Source organism: Homo sapiens, chromosome 11 (assembly GCF_000001405.40).
Source record: "Homo sapiens chromosome 11, GRCh38.p14 Primary Assembly".
In the NCBI taxonomy this organism is placed as follows: domain Eukaryota; kingdom Metazoa; phylum Chordata; class Mammalia; order Primates; family Hominidae; genus Homo; species Homo sapiens.
In genome coordinates this window covers 59795863-59820827 of record NC_000011.10, presented here as the reverse complement: position 1 = coordinate 59820827, position 24965 = coordinate 59795863, and the positions used below count along the sequence as shown (strand labels likewise).

At 42.4% G+C, this 24965-nt stretch overlaps 2 protein-coding genes across 18 annotated transcripts in view, besides 2 other annotated features; one reads left to right on the top strand and one right to left on the bottom strand.

Moving 5' to 3' along the window:
* Window positions 9837–10056: an enhancer, noted in NCBI's record as "active region_4762". NCBI's record gives its function as "activates an Ori minimal core promoter by ATAC-STARR-seq in GM12878 lymphoblastoid cells {active_cell/tissue: GM12878}" and the evidence as "EXISTENCE:reporter gene assay evidence [ECO:0000049][PMID:35858748]".
* MRPL16 (mitochondrial ribosomal protein L16) lies at window positions 10050–14688 on the top strand. The gene is made up of 4 exons (NM_017840.4): window positions 10050–10224; window positions 10908–10973; window positions 12979–13127; window positions 13996–14688. The coding sequence occupies exons 1-4, from the start codon at window positions 10170–10172 to the stop codon at window positions 14479–14481; spliced, it is 756 nt and encodes a 251-aa protein (NP_060310.1). The 5' UTR covers window positions 10050–10169; the 3' UTR covers window positions 14482–14688.
* The window catches only part of STX3 (syntaxin 3), a 51691-nt gene continuing 41675 nt past the window's right edge, over window positions 14950–24965 (bottom strand). For 3 of the 17 annotated variants that reach the window (NM_001440526.1, NM_001440529.1, XM_017018193.2), the window contains exons 10-11: window positions 17528–17610; window positions 14950–16988 (exon numbers count right to left, since the gene is read on the bottom strand). In NM_001440526.1, the coding sequence (NP_001427455.1) occupies window positions 17533–17610 (78 nt within the window). In that variant the 3' untranslated portion in view covers window positions 14950–16988; window positions 17528–17532. Of the gene's footprint in view, window positions 21154–23431; window positions 23546–24965 lie in introns of all 17 variants that reach the window. The other 14 variants (NM_001440525.1, NM_001440530.1, NM_001440528.1 and 11 more) reach the window with 10 other exon arrangements.
* Window positions 17970–18019: an enhancer, noted in NCBI's record as "active region_4761". NCBI's record gives its function as "activates an Ori minimal core promoter by ATAC-STARR-seq in GM12878 lymphoblastoid cells {active_cell/tissue: GM12878}" and the evidence as "EXISTENCE:reporter gene assay evidence [ECO:0000049][PMID:35858748]".

Below are 24965 nucleotides of genomic sequence, written 5' to 3'. Positions count from 1 at the left end.
ATGTGAAATCAAGGACATGAGAAAAAATTTGACATCACTTATCATTAAGGAAATGCAAACTAACCTATAATCAGTATGTAGGTTATATTAAGTAAAATTCAGAGAACGTCATCAGAAATCAACTTTAGTTTACTACTGGTTATCCAAATCAACTCTGTGAGGCTGGGTTGGGTTTGATTTTTTGTGTGTGTTTTTTTTTTTTGTTTGGTTTTTGTATTTTCTCATTACTCTCTTATTTAAAACATAAAAATTAAAAAGTTGTGTTGTCACTTCTAATCACAGAAAACATTCTCACTTCAGGACCTAAAACGTCTGATTCTGTGTAACAGTCACAACTCTGAATTCCATTTAAAAGAAAAGTGACTCTCCTCCCCCAGCTCGGCCCTGCTTCAGACAAAGAGATAATAGTAAAAACAAAATGGGGAGCATGGGGTGAACCTGTTTCCTCATCTTGCACTTTTACTAATCAGGTAAGATCTTTCCTATCCCCAGTCTCTCACTATTTACGATGCCTCTGGGATGGTGGCACCTGATGTGAGCTGAATAGGATCCCTCAAAAAATATATCATCTTGAAGACCTAACCCCTAGCACTTCAGAATGTAACCTTATTTGGAGACAGTATTTTTACAGTGGTAATCAAGTTAAAATGAGGTCATTAGGATGGGCTCTAATCCAATTCGCTGAAATTTGCATTCACACAGACAGACATATACAGAAGAAAGATGATGTGAAGAGATGTAGGAAGAAGACGGTCATCTCCACGCTAAAGAGAGGCCTGGAAAAGATCCTTCCTCACAGCCCTTAGAAGCAGCAAGCAACCCCACAGACACCTTGATTTCAGACTTCCAGCCTCCAGAACAGTGAGGCAATAAGATTCTGTTGTTTAAGCCGCCCAGTGTGTGGTACTTTGTTTTGTGTTCGTTTGTGTGTTTGTGTATGTGTTTGTTTGTTTGTTTGTTAGAGACAGGGTGTCACTCTGTTGCCCAGGCTGTTCTTAAAGTCCTGGACTCAAGCAATTCTCCCACCTCAGCCTCCCAAAGTGCTGGCTTACAGGTGTGAGCCACTGTGTCCAGCCTGTGATACTTTGTCATGGCAGCTCTAGGAAACGAATACAGCACTCAGCAGTACTTTCCTTCTTAAAGAAGAATTCATAAAGCACTCATGAGAGAAAGAGGGTGCTTTAATAGTGATATCCTGTCTCTAAACAAACAAAGTACCATACACTGGGTGGCTTAAACAACAGAATCTTATTGCCTCACTGTTCTGGAGGCTGGAAGTCTGAAATCAAGGTGTCTGCAGGGTGGCTTGTCACTTCTAAGGGCTGTGAGGAAGGATCTTTTCCAGGACCTCTCTTTGACATTCTGAAGTACAAGGGGTCAGGACTTCAAGATATCAAATGTTTCACATGCACAAACACACACACACTCGGACACACACACACACCTGCTGTGGATCTCTCATCTGCTGTTCCCTTGATGCAGGCAAATTCATCTCTGCTGAGTTGTTGGCTGGTTGCACACAATTCTTCCCTCAGGCCCAGGACATCCATCATCACACCTACTCCAACTTCTTTCTCCCTGTCTTTGATGCAGTTCTGTTGATGTAAGAAACCCTACCTTGGCACTCTACACAGGAGTCCACACCTAGTCATGGAGTCCACACCTAGTCAACAGGACATGCATGCCTTTGCCCCACCATCAATGGAAATGTGGCTACTTCGCAACTGCAGCTCTCTACTTTTGATGCCACAGGCAGCTTCTACCAGCCTCCAAACATATCATTTTCTCAAGCCAGTGTCAAACCCCAAAGCCCACTGTCCCTTAAACTGCAGAAGAATTATATTAAACTCTCTGAATGATCTAGAAATGTCTTTCACTGGGCTTGATGGAGCACCCCCCAACCCTTGCCATTGAAGAGGGGAAGGCATGAAACTCACAGTACACCAACAACTGTGTTAACGAAATCTTTATTATAATCTCCAGTCTCCACTTCCTTTCTTGGCTTTTCTAGTGTTTTTTACAGGCTGGCAGAGAATGGGCAGCTAAAAATAGCAAAGCCAGTTCCTACCACCTGCTGCATAAACTGCCTAAAAGGCCCAGCACCTCACTGTGAAATGTGGAGATTACCTTGTGGTCCCAAGCAAAACTGAGGCAGAAACAATCGCATTTTAACAACCTGTTATAAATGTAACACCGAGTGGTGTTTTTCACCTTTCATATTGGCAAAGCCGTAGAAAAATTATAATATCCTTCTTTAGCAAGGGTGTTGATCAAGAAAACACTCTGATCATGGAGGCCAATTTTGCACAACTGTATAAAGTCAAAAGACATAAAATGAACATTCCCTTTGATCCATAAATTTCTCCTTTTGAAAGTGCCCAAAAGAAATACAAAATAACAAAAATGTACAAGGCTGCTTATTGCAGCATGGCCTATAATAACAGATTTGTAAATAATTTAACTGAGCAGCAATAATGATTCATTATGATGAACACATTCATAGAAATACTTTAATATAGCCCATGAATACTGAGACAGAAAACAATAAGATTAATTGGCATTGTTCTTTCTTCTTGGTCACACAATTAAAGAGTTGATGCATTTTTTGCACCTGTTGACTTAATAGATGAGAACAGCTGAAATGGCTTTCTTGTAAAACTTCAGTAACTCTTCCAGTTGAGACTGAATTTAATTTACCTTGAAACCTCTGGAATAAGTGTAGACACATTAATTTTGCTCATGGCACTATAGTAGATGCTCAAGAGATGTTTGTTGAATGAATAGACACTTGAATGGAAATCCCAGCTCTGTGCAATGATCTTAATAATCTTAATGATTTCTGTGTGTTATATCCACCATTATCATGTACATAATAGGATTCCAGTAAAATAATCTATGTGCATGTGAAAGTCCTTTGTAAAGAGTAAATCATGCTAATATGTTAATGGTTAATATTTTATTAGAGAATATTGTTTTTTGTTCTGGCAAAATCTATGGTATCATTGCCCTTTTACAAATGCTCTAAAGCATGTAGAAGCTAATTTTTTTTCTTTTCTTTTCTTTTTTTTTTTTGAGATGGAGTCTCACTCTGTCACCCAGGCTGGAGTGCAGTGGCACAATCTCGGCTCACTACAACCACTGCCTCCTGGGTTCAAGTAATTCTCCTGCCTCAGCTTTCCGAGTAGCTGGGATTACAGGTACGCACCACCACACCCAGCTAATTTTTGTATTTTAGTAGAGACGGGGTTTTACCATGTTGGCCCCGCCGGTCCCGAACTCCTGAGCTCAAGTAATCCACCCACCTTGGCCTCCCAAAGTGCAGGGATTACAGGCATGAGCCACCACAATCGGTCCGTAGAAGCTAAATTGATGAGGAAACTAACATTAACAAGTCCCTTGAGGAGCTCTGCACACTTGGAGTGAAGAAGTTTCAAGGTAATTTATTATGACATTGTGGTTACATTTTGATCAGCAAAAACCCAAGTGGTGTATTAAAAGATAGTGTACATGCACATGCATGCATACACAAACACACACACACACACACACACAGTTTTTTGAGGAACTTCCATCCCATTTTCTACAACAATAATGTACTAATTTTCATTCCCACTAACAATGTACAAGAGTTACATCATTTTCTCCACATACTTGCCAACGTATTATCTTTCATCTTTTTGATAATTGCCATTTTAACAGGTGTGAGGTGATATCCCATTGTGGTTTTAATTTGCATTTCCCTAATGATTAGCGATGCTTAGCATTTTTGCATGTACCTGTTAGCTCTTTGTTGGTCCTCTTTTGAGAAATGTCTGTTTAGGTCCTTTGCTTATTTTTTAAATGGGTTATTTGTTTTCTTGCTGTTGAGCTGAGTTCCTTATACATTTTTAATATTAACCCCTGCTGTTTAATTTGTAAACGTTTTCTCCCATTCTGTCTGTTGTCTCTTCATTTTGTCAGTTATTTCCATTGCTGTGTAAAAGCTTTTTACTTTGATGTCATCCCATTTGTCTATTTTTGCTTTTGTTGTCTGTGCTTTTGAGGTCATTTCCAAAAATTCATTCTCACGCCAATGTTGTGGAACTTTTCCTGTATGGTTTTGTGAAAGAAAAATATCTTGGGCCCCCAGAATCACTAATCTAAAGGGAAAAGTCAAGCTGGGAACTGTTTAGGGCCAACCTGCCTCTCATTCTAATCAAAGTCACCCCTCTGCTCACTGAGATAAATGCATATCTGATTGCCTCATTTGGAGAGGCTAGTCAGAAACTCAAAAGAATGCAACCATTTGTCTTTTATCTACCTGTGACCTGGAAGCCCCTTCCCCACTTTGAGTTGTACAGCCTTTCCAGACTGAACCAATGTTCATCTTACATGTGTTGATTGATGTCTCATGTCTCCCTAAAATGTGTAAAGCCAAACTGTGCTGTGACCAACTTGGGTACATGTCGTCAGGGCCTCCAGAGGCTGTGTCACAGGCACGCATCCTCAACCCTGTTAAAATAAACTTTCTAAATTAACTGAGACCTGTCTCAGATTTTTCAGGGTTCACATTTTGGTAACCACAGGGGGATTCTGAGTGGAGGTGCCTCTTACCTTTGACAAATCTATCGGTCCTTGGTACCAGCATGAGCTAACTTAATGGCTCAAACCAAAAGGACAATTTGCTGAGGTCTGGGAGCACCCCCTCCAGAGAATCCCTGATCTCCCAAAATTTGGTCAAGATCTAAAGTTTATTTTGCTGTATAAACCCCCCCCCCTTTTTTTTTGGAGTTTTACTTGCTTCCAACACAAGGAAGGCAAGTTTTTCCTGCTTCCATAACAATGGAAGGTAGGTAACTCCTTTATGGAATTTGAGCTACTTCCAACAGGGAAGATGAAGGGGGTTTTTTGCTGCTTCTAGGATAGTAAAGAGCAGTCTTCAGCCTGAGAGCCACCCCTGGGTAAGTAACTGAATTGGGATTTGTCTTGGATAAAGTTAAAATTAACAACCAACTGGTCTTAATTTCTCCTTACCATTAGAGTGCTCAGTGATCACATAAGTTGTGCGATCACTTGTTTTGCTTAACTGGTTTTTGTTGTTGTTGTTGTTGTTTGTTTCTGTTTTTGTTGTTGTTTCAGTCTTTTCCCACTGGGTGTGACCAATTCTATCCAACTTGATCAAATCCAAGGGAATGTTCCAAATTATGGGGAACGAGGCCTCTGAAGTGGCTAAATTCCCATAAAAAAAAAAAAAAAGAAAAGATTTTTTATTTTGACTACTTAAGGAGCTTTATTTACATAACAAGGCCACCCTTTTGCTAGCCAAGCCAAACTGAAAGAGCAATGGCTGTACTTCTGAAAGAACAGAAATACAGTAATAAGATTTAAAAACATCTATTTTAAAAGGAGCTCAATGGTTAAAAGTCACCCTAATTAGAAGCTAACATCCAAGATGTGTATATGTATGTGTGCAGGTGGATGTGTTTGTATTTAAAAGGCCCTCACATTTTTGTTTTGTTTTTCTCCTAGGACCCTGTCTTTTTTTGAGCAAAAGTTTTTTCCCACTCAGTTGACTGAATTCTGGTTTCTTCATTTACTTCTGTCTCTCCTTTATCTTGCCCCCTCTGCTGCATAGGGGACCTAAAATAGTTTAATAATAGCCTGGGGTTCCTTAAAGAAAACTGAGAAAGTGCCAGACTCCCTTTGGGGGAGAAACCTGTTTTTCTTATGGGACCCCAAGAACGTAAACAGACAAGTTCATCTCAGCTCTTAAACTGTTTGCTTTTGTATTGTGTTACCTGTTTTGTTTTGGTTTTTTTGACTAAAATAGTTAACTGCAACAGAGCTTACTCTGTTTTTAAGGAACAGCGTGGTTTAGACACTAAGATATGTGTTCATTAAAAAAATTTTTTTAAGTGCACCATAAAAGCATCACATTGTCAAACCTCATAAAATGATCTCTCCAAAACATTTTAATAAAAGAAAAGGGGGAAAATGTGAAAGAAAAATAAATCTTGGAACCCCCAAATCACTAACCTAAACGGAAAAGTCAAGCTGGGAACTGCTTAGGGCCAATCTGCCTCCCATTCTATTCAAAGTCACCTCTTTCCTCACTGGGATAAATACATATCTGATTGTCTCCTTTGGAGAGGCTAGTCAGAAACTCAAAAGAATGCAACCATTTGTCTCTTATCTACCTATGACCTGGAAGTCCCCTCCCCATTTTGAGTTGTACAGCCTTTCCAGACCAAACCAATGTTTATCTTACATATGTTGACTGATGTCTCATCTCCCACTAAAGTGTATAAAATCAAACTGTGCTCTAACCACCTTGGGCACATGTCATCGGGACCTCCTGAGGCTGTGTCATGGGCACACATCCTCAACCTTGTTTAAAAAAACTTTCTAAATTAACTGAGACCTGTCTTAGATTTTCAGGGTTCACAGTTTCTTCTAGTAGTTTTGTTACAGGAAAGTGTCTCAATCCAGATCTCAAGAGAGGGTTTTTGGATCTTGTGCAAGAAAGAATTTGGGGGTGAGTCCACAGAGCAAAGTGAAAGTAAGTTTATTAAGAATGTAAATAAAAAAGAAAGAATAGCTACTCCATAGACAGAGCACTCCCAAAAGCAAGAGGAGAAACACATCTGCCTTTGGTATAATACTCGTTTATATACAAGATAACAAAGCAAAAAAAATCAGGGGAGGATGTGTTCTACTACAAGTGCTTGTGACAAAGGATTGTTAATCTTTGTGTAACTACTGTCTTTTGCAAGCATCTATATTATTAAATTGAAAGTGAAACTTATTCTTTTTTTTTTTTTTTTTTTTTTTTTTGTGAGACGGAGTTTCGCTCTTGTCACCCAGGCTGGAGTACAATGGCACGATCTCAGCTCACTGCAACATCCACCTCCTAATTCAAGTGATTCTCCTGCCTCAGCCTCCTGAGTAGCTAGGATTACAGGTACCCACCATCACGCCCAGCTAATTTTTGTATTTTTTAATAGAGACAGGGTTTCACCATGTTGGCCAGGCTGGTCTCGAACTCCCGTCCTCAGGTGATCCACCGTCCTCGGCCTCCCAAAGTGCTGGGATTACAGGCGTGAGCCACCACATCCATCTGTGAAACTTATCCTTACACTAAGAATGCTTTTGTTATTAAGATATTGGGACATCAAGACATTTCCTGGGTCTGTTAAGTCCTGAGCCTGTTCAGTAAACATCATTTTGTTTTTTTGAGGTGGGGTCTTGCTTTGTTGCCCAGGCTGTAGTGCAGTTGTGCTATCACAGCTCACTGCAACCTCTGCCTCCCTGGCTGAAACTATCCTCCCACCTCAGCCTCCCAAGTAGCTGGGACTATGGGCATGCACCACCAAGCCTGGCCCTGGTAAACATTATTAACTGTTCCCTTAACCATAAATATCCTGTGACTAGGAATGCCTAATCTCCTGGCAATGCAGCCTAGTAGACCTCAGCCTCATTTTACCCAGCCTTTATTCCAGATGGAGTCACTCTGGTTCAAATGCCTCTGACAGTTTTACACTTTCAGGTCTTATATTTAAATCTTTAACCTATTTTAAGTTGTATGTGGTATGAGACAAGGGTCCAATTTCAATCTGCAAGTGAATACCCGGTTTTCCCAACGTCATTTGTTGAAGAGACTATCATTCCCCCATTATGTTTTCTTGGCACCTTTGCCAAAAATCAATGGACTGCGCCAGGCGTCGTGGCTCATGCCCGTAGTCCCAGCACTGTGGGAGGCCAAGGTGGGTGGATCACCTGAGGAGTTTGAGACTAGCCTGGCCAACATGGCAAAACCCCTTCTCTACTAAAAATAGAAAAAATTAGCCAGGCGTGGTGGCACACCCCTGTACTAGAGAGGCTGAGGCGGAAGAATCTAGTAACACCCAGTTACTAGAGAGGCTGAGGCGGAAGAATCGCTTGAACCCAGCAGGCGGAAGTGGCAGTGAGCCGAGATCGCACCACTGTACTCCAGCCTGGGCGACAGAGTGAGACTATGTCTCAAGAAAAAAAAAAACAAATCAATGAAGTATAAATGTGTGTGTTTATTTCTGGGCTCTCTATCCTATTCATTTGGTCAGTGTGTCTATTTCTCTGCCATACCGTGCTGTTTCGATTACAATCAACTTATGTTTTGAAGTCAGGGAGTGTGATGCCTCCAGCTTTGTTCTTTTTGTTCCAGATTGTCTGGGCTATTCAGGGTCTTTTGTGGTTCCAAATGAATTTAAGGGTTGTTTTTCCTATTTCTGTGAAAAATGGCATTGGAATTTTGATAGGGATTGCACTGGATCCGTAGATTGCACTTTTTGGCTCTTTTGAAATAAACAATAAGGTAGAAGTTTTGGGGTACCAAAAGACTTAGAGACCAATCAAACCGTGATTTTAGTGCCACTTCATTTTTCACTCAAAACAATATTGCACAATATTCAACTTGAGGACTAAGCTCTGATTTTTTATCTTGCCCAAATTCCTACCTAAGGGAATCATGCCCTACAAACCATAAATTCTCATCATATAGGTTTTATTTTACCCTATATATTGTGACTTACTTTTCAACATGACTCTGGCATAACATTATGAGACAAAGAAAAAAATATTTAACCCCAAAATATATTTCTTTGCCATATCTTGAAATTGCCCTGCAAAGTCTCTTGCGGGAAAAATCCATTTCTATAGGTATTCTCTTTCCCCTTTGTTTTCCTTCCTTCCTTCCCAGATCCAGGAGACAATCAACTAAGAGCCAGGCATATTTTTTTTTCTCTGTCTTGCCCAGTCTGGAGTCTGGAGTGCAGTGGCGTGATCTCGGCTCACTGCAACCTCCGCCTCCTAGGTTCAAGTGATTCTCCTGCCTCAGCTTCCCGAGTAGCTGGGATTACAGGCACCCGCCACCACGTCCAGCTAATTTTTTGTATTTTTAGTGGAGACGGGGTTTCACCATGTTGGTCAGGCTGGTCTTGAACTCCTGACCTCAGGTAATCTGCCCGCTTTGGCCTCCCAAAGTGCTGGGATTACAGGCGTGAACCACTGCGCCCGGCCTCCAGGCACCCTTTAAGTCAGATAAAAAAACAATTTACAACAGTCTTTCTCTAAAGTCTGCTATCTAAGAGCTTCCTCTGCATAATAAAACTTGGTCTCTACAATCATTTATGTTTAACCTGAACATTCCTTTCTATCCATCCCAGGTCTTTGGACAAACTCAACCAATTGTCAACCAGAAAATGTTTACATTTACCTATAGCCTAGAAGCCCACCTTGACTTGTCCCGCCTTTCTGAACCAAACCAATGTATTTCTTAAATGCATTTGATTGATGTCTCATGCCCCTCTAATATGTATAAAGCCAAGCTGCACTTCTACCACCTTGGGCACATGTTCTCAGGACCCCCTGAGGGCTGTGTCACAGGCCATGGTTGCTCATATTTGGCTCAGAATAAATCTCTTCCAATATCTTACAGAATTTCACTCTTTTCATCAACAATATTGTTCATTCACTGAGATCTCTGGAATCACAGACTGTGCTCAAATTCTGATGGTACTGTTTTCCTGTTGTATGACCCAGAACAAGTTAAATTATTTCACCCTCAGGATGGAATCTGCAAAATAAGTATAATGACTTATCTCACAGATTCGTTGGCAGGACTAACGAATGAGGTACTCAATGACACATTGCAATTGCCCTATACATGTTAAACCATTGCTAAATCTGGTATTCTCCTAATGTCTTTGAGGGGTCCCCTAGAAAATCATCTCAAAGGCTGTGAATCGTAAGGGACCACCTTGCTAAGCAACCGGCAGGCACTAACAGTTGTACTCCGCAGAAAAATAAATAAATAAAACAAAAGACTCCCCGCCCCGCCGCCCTCTTCTTCTGGGGAAAGACTGGAGATTGGAAGGAGAACCCTAGAGAGCCAACAGGGCCCCTGGGCGTGGCTGGGCGGACGGCGCCTTTGACCGCAGGAACTCAACCTCCCCCGGAACTCAACCCCCGTCGCTCGAGTTTCTTTCGCTTCCGTCGGGACTCTGCGGAGTGGACCCGAGTGAACACAACTTCCGGCCCCACTGAGCGGTGTCCTGAGCCGATTACAGCTAGGTAGTGGAGCGCCGCTGCTTACCTGGGTGCAGGAGACAGCCGGAGTCGCTGGGGGAGCTCCGCGCCGCCGGACGCCCGTGACCATGTGGAGGCTGCTGGCTCGCGCTAGTGCGCCGCTCCTGCGGGTGCCCTTGTCAGGTCAGAAGTCCCTTTTGGTTCCTAAAGACTTTACCCCTCTTCCTCCCCCACCCTCCAGTGCTTTTTCTCCCTAACCCAAAAGGCGGCTCTGCATATGCTTGGTGAAGCACTGGTTAGGAACTACGCTATCGCACCGCCGACCTCCACCGTAGGGGTTCGTGCAAGAGGGTCACAGCTGCGTCTGGGAGTCGGCGCCCAGAGATCCCGGCTGGCCTTTTGCGGAGCCTGAGCCTTTGAGTCCATTTAGTGGAATCCGCATCCCACACCTCAAGACTCCTCCGGCGGAAGTACTTTTGGGCGGGCGCGGTGGCTCACGCCTTTAATAGCAGCACTTTGGGAGGCCGAGGCGGGCGAATCACTTGAGGTCAGTAGTTTGAAACCAGCCTGGCCAACATGGTGAAACCCTGTCTCTACTGAAAATACAAAAAAAATTAGCTGGGCGTGGTGGTGGGCGACTGTAATCCCAGCTAGTCCGGAGGCTGAGGCAGGAGAATCTCTTGAACCCGGGAGGCGGAGGTTGCAGTGAGCCGAGATCGCGCCACTGCACTGGATCCTGGGCGACAGAGTAAGACTCCGTCTCAAAAAAATAAAATAAATAAAAATAAGAAGTAGTACCTTTGGCCCAGGTTGTATCGGGGTCCCGGCCTGTTACCTTCGTCGTTTAACTTGATTTGTCTTTGTAGATTCCTGGGCACTCCTCCCCGCCAGTGCTGGCGTAAAGACACTGCTCCCAGTACCAAGTTTTGAAGGTGAGAGCTTGTCTTTCTCCTGTTCGTAAATCTTTTCTCTGATGGAAACCAGGAGCGGGTGGGAGATGACATAGGAATGTTCTCGTGTTTCCCATCCCCGTTCACTCTTTCAATAAATATGTTTTTAGAGCTTACAGTTTTGCCAACTAATATTCTGAGCACTAGAAATAAATCAAAGACAAAGGAAACCAAAAAAGTTCCTTGCTCTTACGGAGCAGCGTCTAATGAGATAGCTCCCCTAAAACCTCCCACTGGTGTGTGTCCCATGGTCCACTCAGCCAGTAGTCATTGGCCTGAAATCTGGATTTTTGAGCGGGCATGGTGGCTCACGCCTGTAATCACAGCACTTTAGGAGGCGGAGGCGGGTGGATCACTTGAGGCCAGGAGTTGGAGACCAGCCTGCCAACCTGGTGAAACCCCATCTCTACTAAAAATACAAAAAATTAGCTGGGCGTGGTAGTTTACACCTGTAATCCCAGCTACTCAGGAGGCCACTGCACTCCAGCCTGGGCAACAGAGTGAGACTCTGTCTCAAAAGAAAAAAAAAACCTGAACTTTTGATGTTCTTTCCAAATAAGTTTACATATATGCAGTCATCTAACGATATGTGAAAAAGCTTTAATTTGTTAAATTTAAGCCACAATATCGTAAAACTAGTTTACTTTTTAAAAAAGAAATATACTGGAACCCTCAAAAAAAATGAATAGGGTCTGTACATCTGAGGGTCTTCTGTACAGAATTGTTAAACCACGTTTTGAAAGTACATTTTGACTTGTAGGTGAAAGAAAGCATTACTAAGATTCTCTGTAGCTACATATAGAAGTTGAGGGGCAGCTTCTGAAACTCTGATAGTAATAATTTGGTATTTCCTCAAACTCTTCTATTTTGTATTTGTCTCCATTATAAAGCCATACTTGGTTCATTTAAGAAATTTTTAAAAATGATTTGTATGTTAACTTTTTTCCCCAAATCGTCAAGTAAGGATGATAAAGAAGATGTCACATGTCTGGCCTGAAGTTTTGCCCACCCACCAAAACCTGGCACACTGACCTGTGCAGGTCTCAGCATGAAAAGTCCCTGCATATATGAGAGAAAGAGCATTGATCAAAGGATTCCTAGGTTGTAAGTTTCTCAACAAGAATGTGGCAGAGCTGGAGAACTTAGATATTTTTATGTACAATATAGTATTCTTCCACTACCCCCATTAACATCCAGAGAGGCAGGGAAATATATGTATATATTTTTGTGACATGGTATGTAGCTTTGCTGTTGAACTGGATGGCATAGACCAGATTATAAAGTGTTTTTAGCCCTCGGGTTCCTCTTCTATAAAATGGAGATTAAAAATACTACCTGCCTAATATCCTGTTTGTTGATCTGGGTAATAGTGGTGTGTGTTCATGTGTTCACTTTCTGGTAATTCACTGAGCTGTATATTTTTAATTTGGCCCTTTGATATAGCTGTGTTAAACTTTGACAAGTTTAAAATTTTTAAAAAGAGAGCCCTGAAAGAATACCAAGGCTATAAAGTTATTTTAAAGATTAAGTGAACTAGTGGTTTCCAAACAATCCCTGTTACAGTGTTAAGCACAGAGTTGGTGATTAATAAGTGCATTTGGATTCAGAGGATAAAACTTTGCTATCTTTAAAGTTTTAGAAACATTTGCATTAGCCACTGTCACAGCCAGAAGATTCCAGTGTCACTAAAAGCATCTGCAAAAATGTAATATACCTTTACAGTTACTGTTCAGTGGTAACTTTAAGACTTTCAGGCTGGATATGGTGGCTCGCACTTGTAATCCCAACACTTTGGGAGGTAAAGGCAGGAAAATCACTTGAGGCCAGGAGTTTGAAACCAACCTGGGCAACATAGTGAGACCCTGTCTCTACCAAAAAATGAAGAAGAAAGAAATTAAGACTTTCACCTGTTATAAATCTTTCTAGGAAAATAGATCTTTTGAGATGTATAGTTTTACTTTATCCTGGTTGTCTGTGCTTCTTTTAGATGTTTCCATTCCTGAAAAACCCAAGCTTAGATTTATTGAAAGGGCACCACTTGTGCCAAAAGTAAGAAGAGAACCTAAAAATTTAAGTGACATACGGGGACCTTCCACTGAAGCTACGGAGTTTACAGAAGGCAATTTTGCAATCTTGGTGAGTGAATTCAGCATCGAGCAGCAATGGGATGGAAGCTAGGGAATAACAAAATCTCATACTCCTTGAGATAATTTAGTCTCTTCCTCCACAGTTTTTATTAGAACTGCCACCAGTTGCTCTTTAAACTGGTATGTACAGAGGCTACTGGGTACCCAGTAAACATTTGGGTTATATATCTTTTTTTTTTTTAATGTAGAGTGAAAATAACGTAAAAGCAGAAGGAAGGGGCTAGCTAATGTGCCCCATAATCAGATCATGAGATCTTTTCAAGCCCTGGTAAAAATAAAACCATCCACAATATAGGATGTGGAAGACAGCTGTTTCCTTACTTGTTGAGTAGCTTCCATGAAGACTTGATGTCAGCAGCCACACAAATGGGTGTGCACTAGGATTTGTTTTCCACCAGGCAGCCAGAGTGATATTCCAAAGTCCTCTTCCTGCAGCCTACATAATCACCCCCACTGACCTCTCAGAACCTCCTGCCCACTCTCCCCATTCCTCACCCTACTCCAGCCACATTGGCTTCTGTTCAACTTGCCAAGCCCTCTGCTGTGCCAGGGCCTCCACATAAGCCTTTCTTATGCCTGGCACACTCCTCTCTTTTCCCTTGGCTAGTTCTTTTTATTCTGGTCTTAGCTTTAGATGTCACCTCTTCAAAGAAGCCTTCCTGGCTCTCCACTGAAATGGGTCCCCCTTCACTCTATTACTGTGTACCCTAGGCTTTTCCTCCATGGGACTTATTAGAACTTAGATTTTTATTTTCAATTGTATCATTGAAGCCACAGTTACTAGAAGAGACAAAATAATGAGCCCATAGATGATGTCGAAGTCCGCATGTGTTTCTAATTCTCCCATTCACTTTTAGGCATTGGGTGGTGGCTACCTGCATTGGGGCCACTTTGAAATGATGCGCCTGACAATCAACCGCTCTATGGACCCCAAGAACATGTTTGCCATATGGCGAGTACCAGCCCCTTTCAAGCCCATCACTCGCAAAAGTGTTGGGCATCGCATGGGGGGAGGCAAAGGTGCTATTGACCACTACGTGACACCTGTGAAGGCTGGCCGCCTTGTTGTAGAGATGGGTGGGCGTTGTGAATTTGAAGAAGTGCAAGGTTTCCTTGACCAGGTTGCCCACAAGTTGCCCTTCGCAGCAAAGGCTGTGAGCCGCGGGACTCTAGAGAAGATGCGAAAAGATCAAGAGGAAAGAGAACGTAACAACCAGAACCCCTGGACATTTGAGCGAATAGCCACTGCCAACATGCTGGGCATACGGAAAGTACTGAGCCCATATGACTTGACCCACAAGGGGAAATACTGGGGCAAGTTCTACATGCCCAAACGTGTGTAGTGAGTGTAGGAGATAACTGTATATAGGCTACTGAAAGAAGGATTCTGCATTTCTATTCCCCTCAGCCTACCCACTGAAGTCTTTGGGTAGCTCTTAAGCCATAACTAAGGAGCAGCATTTGAGTAGATTTCTGAAAAACAATGTTATTTGTTGATTTAAAAAGAAAACTGTATTTTTATTAAATAAAATTTAAACATCACTTCAGGATATAACTTCTCATTGGTCATTCTTAATCCCTTAAAAGATTAAGAAATAGGCCTCAATGACTAAAGAGTTCTTGGTCCTCCTGGGGTGTAAGATGAACATGAAGGCTGAAACAAATGTTTGCATTCCCCCATCTATGATGCGAGTCTCACTTAAATGTTTATACTGCCTTTTATACGTACACACTTCAGGAGCCAGTTTCTGTGATATTTTACTAGGTTAAAAACACATTTTTAGAGTAAGAAAAAAACAACAGTACATAGGTCAATTGATTCAATATTTATTGATGCCCAGCTACCCATCTTCTCACAATCTTGGAAGGGGTATGTTGGACAATAGGCAAGGAACATACCCTTTGCCTTTTAGCAAAAGGAACCGATGACAAAAGTTAGAACTGCGTGGCCTTTTCTGGGTCTGAAATTCTCCAAGAGGGAGAGTGTTTGGCTCTATGTTTGTGCCCCTGCAGAATCTAGTACAGTGCTATGTGCCATGCACCACTTAAATTCTTACTGCTAGTGAATGAGGGCCCCCTAGGACTCAGATCCTCATAGCTCCAGCTCCGTTTGCCCAGATTAATGTTTTCCAGACCCAACCAGCTGCAGTCTTCTATCCCCTATTAAAACTAAAGGAAGCACAAATTAATAGAAATATCAAACCATTGGCTTTTGAAGGTGGGTAGAAAACAGCACTGACCAAAATATTTTTAATCCCACTTTCTTAAAAAATAAGGTATCAAACAAAGAATAATTTACTTTCAAAAGTACAAACTTAGCAGTTGTGTGCTCCTCACAGTTGTATAGTGTGATTTTTTCATCAATTTTAGTTACATAATCACTAAATAATCTGCACTAGAACTCACATTCACATAGCTGGTTTTAAAGCTGAACACAACTGAACCTTGAATGGAATTGGGGACAGTATTAAGTATTAAGAACAGTTTTTTTTTTTTGTTTTTTTTTTTTTTTTAGATGGAATTTAGCTCTTGTTGCCCAGGCTGGAGTGCAGTGGCGCGATCTCGGCTCACTGCAACTTCCGCCTCTTGCATTCAAGCAATTCTCCTGCCTCAGCCTCCCAAGTAGCTGGGAATACAGGTGCAAGCCACCATGCCTGGCTAATTTTTGTATTTTTTGTAGAGAGGGGGTTTCACTATGTTGGTCAGTCTGGTGATCCACCTGCCTTGGCCTCCCAAAGTGCTGTGATTACAGGCATGAGCCACCGTGCCCGGCCTATAACAGTTTCTTATACATACGTTACTGGCCAGCAGTTTCAGCTAGCAACACAAATCAGGTGAGAGGTGAAGTGAGTGATAACCTCATTTCACCTTTCTCACTTGACACCTTTATCTGTTCTTTGTTATGGTTCACAGAGTGTTCTACTGATGTGTGAGTTCAGTCATGCTATAAACCTATTTTATTTTGTGGGCCTGTATTTCGTTATTGAACCACAGTCCTGGAGCCAGCCATCTTCTCCACAGATTAAGAGGCTGTTGCTAGAACTCCACCATCACCACCCATAGAAAAAGCACTTTAAATTTTCATGTTGTGGTAATGGGGTTTGAAAGGTTGGTAGCATTTTTGCATAAGCAGATCAGCCCATTCCCAAGCGGCTTTACACAGCCTCTGACAGTAACAAACCACGTTCTCATTGGTACCTTAAAGAGTTTAGGAGTCAAACCCAAGGATTTGTCCATGACTGAAATAAGAGCTTAATTATAAGTAATTAAGTCAGCAGATATTTGAGTACCTGTAAGCAGCAGGCGCTGTGCTAAAAAGTGGGGACACAGCAGTGAGCAAGATAGGCATGTGCTTATCCTTAGATAAACTTCACTTTTAAGACTACTACTGGAGCCTGAAAGAGGAAACAGATGTAGGGTGGTCAAAGGTGTGACCTAGAGGAGCCTGAAGAGCAGAAGTGCCCTGACTTGACCAACTCACAGCAGTTCAAGTAAGATCCTGTTGAGTTAGGTGTGCTATGATATCTGCCCCTTCACAGCCATACTGCACATGCAGGCTGTGTCACTTCCTAAAGAGGCGCCCACTCTGCTTGCTTCTCTACCCTGCAGTCCTCCTTTAAACCATCTGCCTAATCAGCTATGTATCTGTACTCCCTGTCCCTGTCCTCCGCCCAATTCTGTATACGTTTATTCTTTGCATAATTCTTAATAAGTAGTTGATTGGTGCCCTGTTTCTTAAGAAGTTTCATAATGGAAAGAGGAGAAGCTGATGAGGAGTCTGCGTGGAGAAGTGATGGTACCACAGAAGTGGAAGGAGGATTAGAAATGCCAGTCGATCAATCTGTGAGGGCTGTGGGAGATAACAGAAAAATGGAGGAAAAAAATCATAGATTATATAGCATGGTGTTCGTGGCTGGGATCACCAAATCCCTCTTACCCGGGGTAAAGGACTACATACAAGGCTGTGTTAACTTTCATTAACCTTGAAAGGGAAGAAATTTAATTTGAATTTACTGTGTGGCCGGCCCTCTTCCAAAAAGTTCAAGATGCACCTAATGCAAGAACTAATTCTTGTTCTTTTTGTCACTTCCAGATACCAAGGCTCAAACTGTTTAGCAGGAATCACTATCCTTCACCTGTACAAAGCATTCTGCCACACCAGGTTATAGGACAGATTGCCACCTTCTGTCTCCCCCCTCCTCCCACAGACTACCTACTAACAGTTCATTCTTCACTCACTTTTCTGTCTCTGAAACATCCCTTTCTTTAGTTTTCTCTAACCATTATTAGCACCTAATCCCACCCAGATTAAGGCACCTAGAGTGCCCCCAAGACACAAAGGTTTCAAGTCAGTGAAAGAAGGTCTGACCCTCCCCACAGATGGCTCACCTTTTTCAGGCAAATATGCTCCCAATGGTGGAAGCTAAGATGATCGCAAGGATAATACAGCAGATCATGATCATGATCTTCTTCTGCTCATCCAGACAAGGAAAGAAAGAATACATGAGAAACATCATCGCAAAAAGTATTCTGCAGGGAGATAAGTGCATGTGGACATGGAAGAGGGTGTGAAGGAAGAGAGCAACAGAAGGAAAAAGGAGATGGATCTGGCTTCTAGGACCCAGAATGCCAACAGAAATGTTATTTTTGGTGAGACATTCAAGTTAGATTAAAAGGATGTTTGGTATGGTCATTCCACCTTCTAGATAACATCGTGACAGATCTCCCCCATTTCCTCCTAAAGCCAGATACTCCCAAGGACTGAACCAAATTCTTTTGGGGGGAACACCTCAAATCTGAAACACAAACATAGTTACACTGCATTCTGTGGGAGTTAAACCATGTTCAAAAATTGCACTTTTGAACCATCTGATCCAGCACATGGCTTAAAAAGGTGTGAACTGCATTCTAAAACCTGAATAAAAATCACCACATGGTGGCACCAGATCATTGTGTTTCTGCATCGAGACAGAGCCAGAACCGTTTCACAATCAATACAAAGTCATTTTTATTTTTAAATTAGCAATAAAATAATCAAGTTTACATCTAAAAAATACAAACAACAACAAAAACCTTCACATGTTGTATTCCAAACTGTAAGCCCCAGGCCTCAATGTCAGAGGAGAGCAAAGGCCTTTAGTTATTTTGTCTCTTGTTGCTGGAGCCCATCCACTGTCTGACATCATAGCCATGGGCAAGAGGATATTGCCTTGGCTCTGTCTGAGTGCTGGATTGTGACCGGCCATAAGTAGCCTTTGCAAAGGAAGCTAATGGACAGTGCCTGAATTAAGGGTGCTTACCCTATCCTAGAAAGCGTTAAAGTCAAAGCGGAAAATATACATGGTACCCAAAATCAAGGAGACTGCCAGAGACCAGCAGGGGATCTAAGGGATTTACCACTGGGTTAGCACAGACACTACACTTGAAGATTTCCTAGCGGCTGCTGCTGCTGTTTCCATGATAAGAATTCAGTGAGACAAAGAACCTGCCAAGCTCATTAACCGAGTAGCAGGAAGAGCTACTGTGTAGCCTCTGGTGTTCCCCAACTGACTCAGCCCTGCAGATGGGACATCCTGTAGGTCATGTGAATATCAAGTTACTGAGGGATGTTCTCAGGACAAGCCTAGCATAGGCACCAGGTGGGAAAGGGTGTCAAAAAATTATACCTTCTGTCTGCTAAGCAGAAAAACTTAATTGGGATCAATTTAGCTCACTCCAGAGTTCTCATTTTATTCTCCCAGTATTCATCCAGAAAACAAGTTTCTTGATGATATGGGAAGATCACATTTCCACAGTGATTCATTTGCAGGTAAGCAAATGTCCTTTACCCAATTTTTATCCTAGCTCAAAGTTGGCTTTTTTTTTTTGAGGTCATAATAGCTTCCATTTTTATTTCCTACTTCCTGAGACACACACACTTATGTGTACATACATTTCATACACAATTAGAATACATCTGGAACACATGAGTGAATACACCAGTGTCATGAAATATTTCCAGAGCTTAGGATTCTAGCACCTTGTCCCTTGCCCAATTTAAAATCCCTGATTATTTTTGGCCCCAAGACAATAGTCTCACAAAGCATCACTTTCTAACAATGAGCAGCCAGTTTCTAAGACTCAGACATGGAAACATATTCCATACCGTCAGCCTTTTGCAAAGCATAACCTCAGATGACTGTATCATCCTGGTCCCTCCTTGAGTAAATATGAGAGACTACAACACAGAGAAAAATCAAAGTTGCCCCCCAAGCTGAACAACTAAGAGCTTAATTTAAGGCTGAATTTCAAACAAGTCAGCTCTTTAGACCAAAATGACATCTGCCAGTCCCTCATGTTTTCAGGACATACGGACAACAAACAGGATTGGCATCCTGCCAGGTAGAAGACTCAGATCCAAGCCTTCTTGTTGCCAAACTTAGAAGAATCATTCTGCTTTGTTAAAGATACTCCCCTAAAAAAATACATTGCAGTTTCTGGGAGAATACTCCATGAGGTAGAAAAATACAGCACCTTGGGAGAGTCTCACAAGAGCTTTCCCAAGTGCAAGGCATAATCTGACACACAACAGGGAGGAAGAAAGCTGGGTGGGTCCACACAGTCCAGGAGAAAAGGTACTTGAGAGCTGGTGGGGCAGGAGGAGGCTCTGGGGAGAACTCAGGGTCGCATCAGGTAGATCACATTCCCCCAGGGCTAGATTGTTAGCTGAGTCAGGTCCAAGGGTGGTTGCAAGGAAACAAAGGAACGGGTCGCACTCGCTCTCAGGAAGGCCATTCAGACTCCATTCTCATCTGAAGACAAGGGTGGCCACACCAGTCTGGAGTGAAATCAGTTTCTAGGAGGCAGGGAAAGGAGGAGCTGATCAGTACACAGGAAGAAGGCAAAGGGCAACAGAAGGAGTCAGCCACAAACCTGGAAGGTGGGGAGGAAAGACCAGAAATCACTATGAAATAGACAAACCCAGGACAGAACTTGGAGTTAAATATCCCACTGTACAAAGAACAAAAAGCCCTACTGTGAGAGGGGAAAAAAATAGAAAAGCCTCTAGGCCTTTTATAAGCCTTCTCACAGGCTGTCCACACCCATGGAAGGACGTGGTGGGAAGGGACAATCCCTAGTGAAAACACCTGCTCTGCAGGTCCCACAGCAACACCGCTCCTGAAGACAGGCTGCAGGAGCTGCTTTCTGGTTCTCGATCTTCATGAACTCCCTGCTGCCTTTCTTTTAGAAAACAGAAGGACACAATGAAAAGCCTATGGAAAAAGTTCAGGGGTCATATTATGGCTGCTCCACCTTATGAGCTATGTAGTCTTGGGCAAGTTCCTTAACTTCATTGCTCTTTCCCCGTCTGTAAAATGAGGATACTATGATCTTAGAGCAAGCAGCTGGCACATTACTAGGAAATATAAACACACTGTCTACCCTCCTGTTCAGAGACCTCTCTCCCTTGGGTGACATGGAGGAAGAGGAGAGTCCAGACCTAGGCAACAATCAGTCTTGACTTTGTTAGGGAACATGGAATACACTACAAAAAAAGCAGCTTAACAACTGCTCAGCAATTTAGCAGGTTAAAGATAGGGTTAGTCAACCAAAAACAACATATTAATTAGTCTGCTCCTCTTTGAGGAGTTACGTCCTGAAAAATGATTCATATACCTTCTGAAGTCCTGGAATTAGGAATAGAAAGGGGCACCACAAATTTGCATATCATCTTTCATCCAAGGATATGGAAAAATAACAACTCTTATATCTTTTTAAAATTTCAACATCTATTTCAATCAGATTGTTCAGAGCCAAACCAAAATTTAAAGTTCACATACAAAAAAGTCAAGGGCTAGACTCCAAGTGCCAGAAAAAAGAGGGGAAAAAAAAAATCAACCAACCACCTGTCTATGAGAGGTTGTTCATCTCACTGTTGCTTATCTTTCAAGATGAAGTTGAATGCTCAATGCTGTAATAAGCTGACTTTTAGATCCCCTGGTCACATGGAAGGAGGAGGAATAAGAAGAGACACACTGAAACAAATATAAAAGGAAGGCACAGCTCTGGGTACTGGCATGGTATTATGTGCCAAGTCTTAAAAATGTTTATACCTGTTATTTCAGTACTCCAACTTATATGAGTTGGTAATAAAGAGAAAATTTAAATGAGAAAAATATTAAATAAGGTTAGTCACACTGTTAGCTACAGCAAAATAACATAAACCTCCAACATTGTGAAAATGTTAAATATTTGAGAGTATGGCCACAATCTCATATTGAAAATTAGATTTACAAAGAGATTTTAATGCTGTGGAATGATGCTTATAATTTTCTAACTGGGTACAAAACTGGATAATATAGTCTGAACTATGTAAAACTATGTCTGAGTATGTGAACGTGCCACAAGGTTATCAGCAATAATATTAAAAGTTCATTAGTTTTATGTTTTCTGTATTTTATAGGTTTTTTTTTAACAATGCATGCTATATTTTATTCAGAAAAATATTTTAAAAGTCACTGGCTGGGCGCAGTGGCTCATGCCTGTAATCCCAGCACTTTGGGAGGCCAAGGCAAGTGGATCGCTTGAGTCCAGGAGTTCAAGACCAGCCTGGGTGACATGGCAAAACTCCATCTCTACAAAAAATATAAAAGTTATCTTGGCGTGTTGGTGTACACCTATAGTCCCAGCTACTCAGAAGGCTGAGGCGGAAGGATCACTTGAGCCTGGGAGGCAGAGGTTGCAGTGAGCTAAGATCGCACCACTGCGCTCCAGCCTGGGCGACAGAGCAACACACAATCTCAACAACAAAAAAAAATTGTTTGTTTTAAAGTCACAAAAGTCTTAATAGTCCCAATAACCAGATTGATATGCTCACTACTATTAAACGTGATTCAGGCCGGGTGCAGTGGCTCACGCCTGTAATCCTAGCACTTTGGGAGGCCGAGGCGGGTGGATCACCTGAGGTCAGGAGACCAGCATGGCCAACATGGTGAAACCTCGTCTCTACTAAAAATACAAAAATTAGCCGGGCGTGGTGGCAGGCACCTATAATCCCAGCTACTCGGGAGGCTGAGGCAGGAGAATCGCTTGAACCCAGGAGGCGGAGGCTGCAGTGAGCTGAGATCGCGCCACTGCACTCCAGCCTGGGGGACAAGAATGAGAAACAAACAAAAAACAACAACAACAAAAACGTTTTTTGTTTGTTTTGATTCAGGCCGGGCGCAGTGGCTCACGCCTGTAATCCCAGCTTAGGCGGGCAAATCACCTGAGGTCAGGAGTTCAAGGCATTCTGGCCAACATGGCAAAACCCCATCTCTACTAATAATACAAAAATTAGCTAGGCGCTGTGGCATGTGCCTGTAATCCCAGCTACTCAGGAGGCTGAGGCAGGAGAATTGCTTGAATCCAGGAGGCGGAGGTTGCAGTGAGCCGAGATCATGCCACTGCACCCCAGGCTGGGAGATAGAGCAAGACTCCGTCTCAAAAAAAAAAAAAAACCAGTGATTCAGTGGTAAGTCTATCACTTTTAACAAATTTTCAAGAAAATGAATAGTCTAAATTTTAGCATCGCTATCCTCTAAGGTTCTCCAGGCTTTATAGTTAATGATAAGTGGCTACCTTCTTTTACAAAGAGAAGCTAGGTCCACTATTAGCTGTGTGAACTTGGCCCTGTTATTCAACATTCTCTTTGACTGAGTTTCTTTGTCTGTAAAATGTGCATAACACTGTATCTGTCTCAAAGGATGTTGTAAGGATTCAATGATATGTGTATAAGGTGTTTAGTACATTGTCTGGTACAACACAACACTCAAAAGTGTGTTAACTATCATCATTTAAGACCCAACCACTCAGCAACAGAGAAAACTCTGCAGATCCAAATCCCAATTCAGAGTTTCATTTACATTGAAAAGGATACAGAAAGTAAAGCCCAACATCCATGAAAATCAGTAAGAATTCAGAAGACAGACTCCAGATCCAAGACAGAGATGTACCCAACTTAGAAGCATGCTTCCTGAGTAAGGGGAGTCACCTGGGGTGCTCAGGTATGCTGGGAGAAGTGGTAATACGACAAGACAGAGATTGGGGACAGAATCTACAGGATAAGAACAAACGGAGAGCTCATCCACGTACTGCAGCCAGAAACCAATAGAACTATAAGGAGATAAAGAATCCACAGGCTACTGAAAGTTTTAGAAAGCTCAGTGTGTCCAAGGACAATCATAGGGGGAAAGAAGAGGAATTTGAAATCCCAAGCTAATTTCCTCTTGAGGAGCCAAATCCAGAGTCCCCAAGAACCACTCGTTTACTTACATTTCAGTGCAGCAGCCTCTTAGGCCACTCTTAATTCAGCCCAACGGAAAGTCCAATAATCAATGCTAAAATGCCCAGCAACACAACTACTAGCACAATGATAATTATCAATTTCTGGAGAGAGGAATAAGACAAAAACAAATCATTATTACAAACAACCAAAAAAATAACAACTCATCCAAAACCTAACCCCTGTCACCTCTACATAGAAAATATCTTACCAGTCTGAGTAAGAGGCCTACATCTCTACATACAGACATCCTTCTAGGATACTTCATTTATTTTTAAGACAGGGTTTTTCTCTATCACTCAGGCTAGAGTGCAGTGGCATGATCATGGCTCACTGCAGCCTCGACCTCCTGGGCTCAAGTGATCCTCCTGCCTCAGCCTCCTGAGTACATAGGACTACAGGCATGCACCACCATGCTCAGCTCATTTTCTTTATTTTTGTAGAGACAGGATCTTCCCATGTTCCCCAGTCTGGTCTCAAATTCCTGGGCTCAAGCAATCCTCTCACCTCGGCCTCCCAAAGTTCTGGGATTATAGGTGTGAACCACCACACCCAGCCTAGGACAGTTTAAATTTCTTAAATTACTTCTAGGCTAGGAATGCCAGCAGAGGGAAATATGGGGCCTCTCTCAGCTCTCAGCTCACACTGCAGTTCTGTATATGTGGACAGATAGAATCAGAGCCACTATCGTGGGGTCTCTAAGGAGCAGTTGGCCAAGATAAAAAGTCACTGACTGATTTTTTCCATTTTAAGAGGGAATGTAAAGGCATTTTTGATAGAGTTCTAATTTCCTACTTTTGCCCATACTCCTACCTGTCAGACCCAGTACACTGCCTGGATATCAGAAAATGCCACCCAGCCTGGATTCACCATGTAAAATAACTTCCCAGTCCCCTAAATCCCTGCATAAGCAATAGGTAAAGTTGGATGAAAAACAAAGAACTAAACAACAACAATATCAGAGCCCAAGAGAACCAGTCAAAGGAGAGAAGTCTAAAAAGCAGACGCCACCAGAGCTGGATAACCACAGTCGTGAGCACAGAAGCCTAGAAGTCCTTAAGCGGCAGGGGCACCAGAGGGTGGGCAAATACAGTGGTGTGGTAGAAACAGAATGATTGGGATCTGAACTTGAATCCCAGTGCCTCTACTTACTAGGTGGCCTGAAGCCAGTTACTGAGCCCCTGACCCTCAACTGTCTCATTTATAAAGTAGAAATAACAGGTGCTCCATCAGATATGACATAATGTATAGATAGCAGTTAGCATGAGCTAGGTACAAGGTAGAGAAAAAGAGAAGGGAGGCGGAGCTTGGGCGCCTGGAGTGGAAGACAATGAAGAGAAGGTTTCTGAACAGAGGAGTCAAGTGTAACATCTGAAAGCCTCATGAGCTAAGTCCAGGAGAAGATTAGCAGCACCACCTGGGCCATGCATCCATCCTACAGAACTGCCTTTCAAGTGTGGGTTTTTGGGGAGATAGCTTGTGAGCCAGATCCATGCAAGGCACACCTGGGAAGGAAGGGCAGGC

Coding starts and splice junctions, on each gene's coding strand:
- MRPL16 (NM_017840.4), top strand. CDS start 10,170: ATGTGGAGGCTGCTGGCTCGCGCTAGTGCGCCGCTCCTGCGGGTGCCC. Junction 10,974..12,978: donor CCCAGTACCAAGTTTTGAAG/GTGAGAGCTTGT, acceptor TGCTTCTTTTAG/ATGTTTCCATTCCTGAAAAA. Junction 13,128..13,995: donor AAGGCAATTTTGCAATCTTG/GTGAGTGAATTC, acceptor ATTCACTTTTAG/GCATTGGGTGGTGGCTACCT.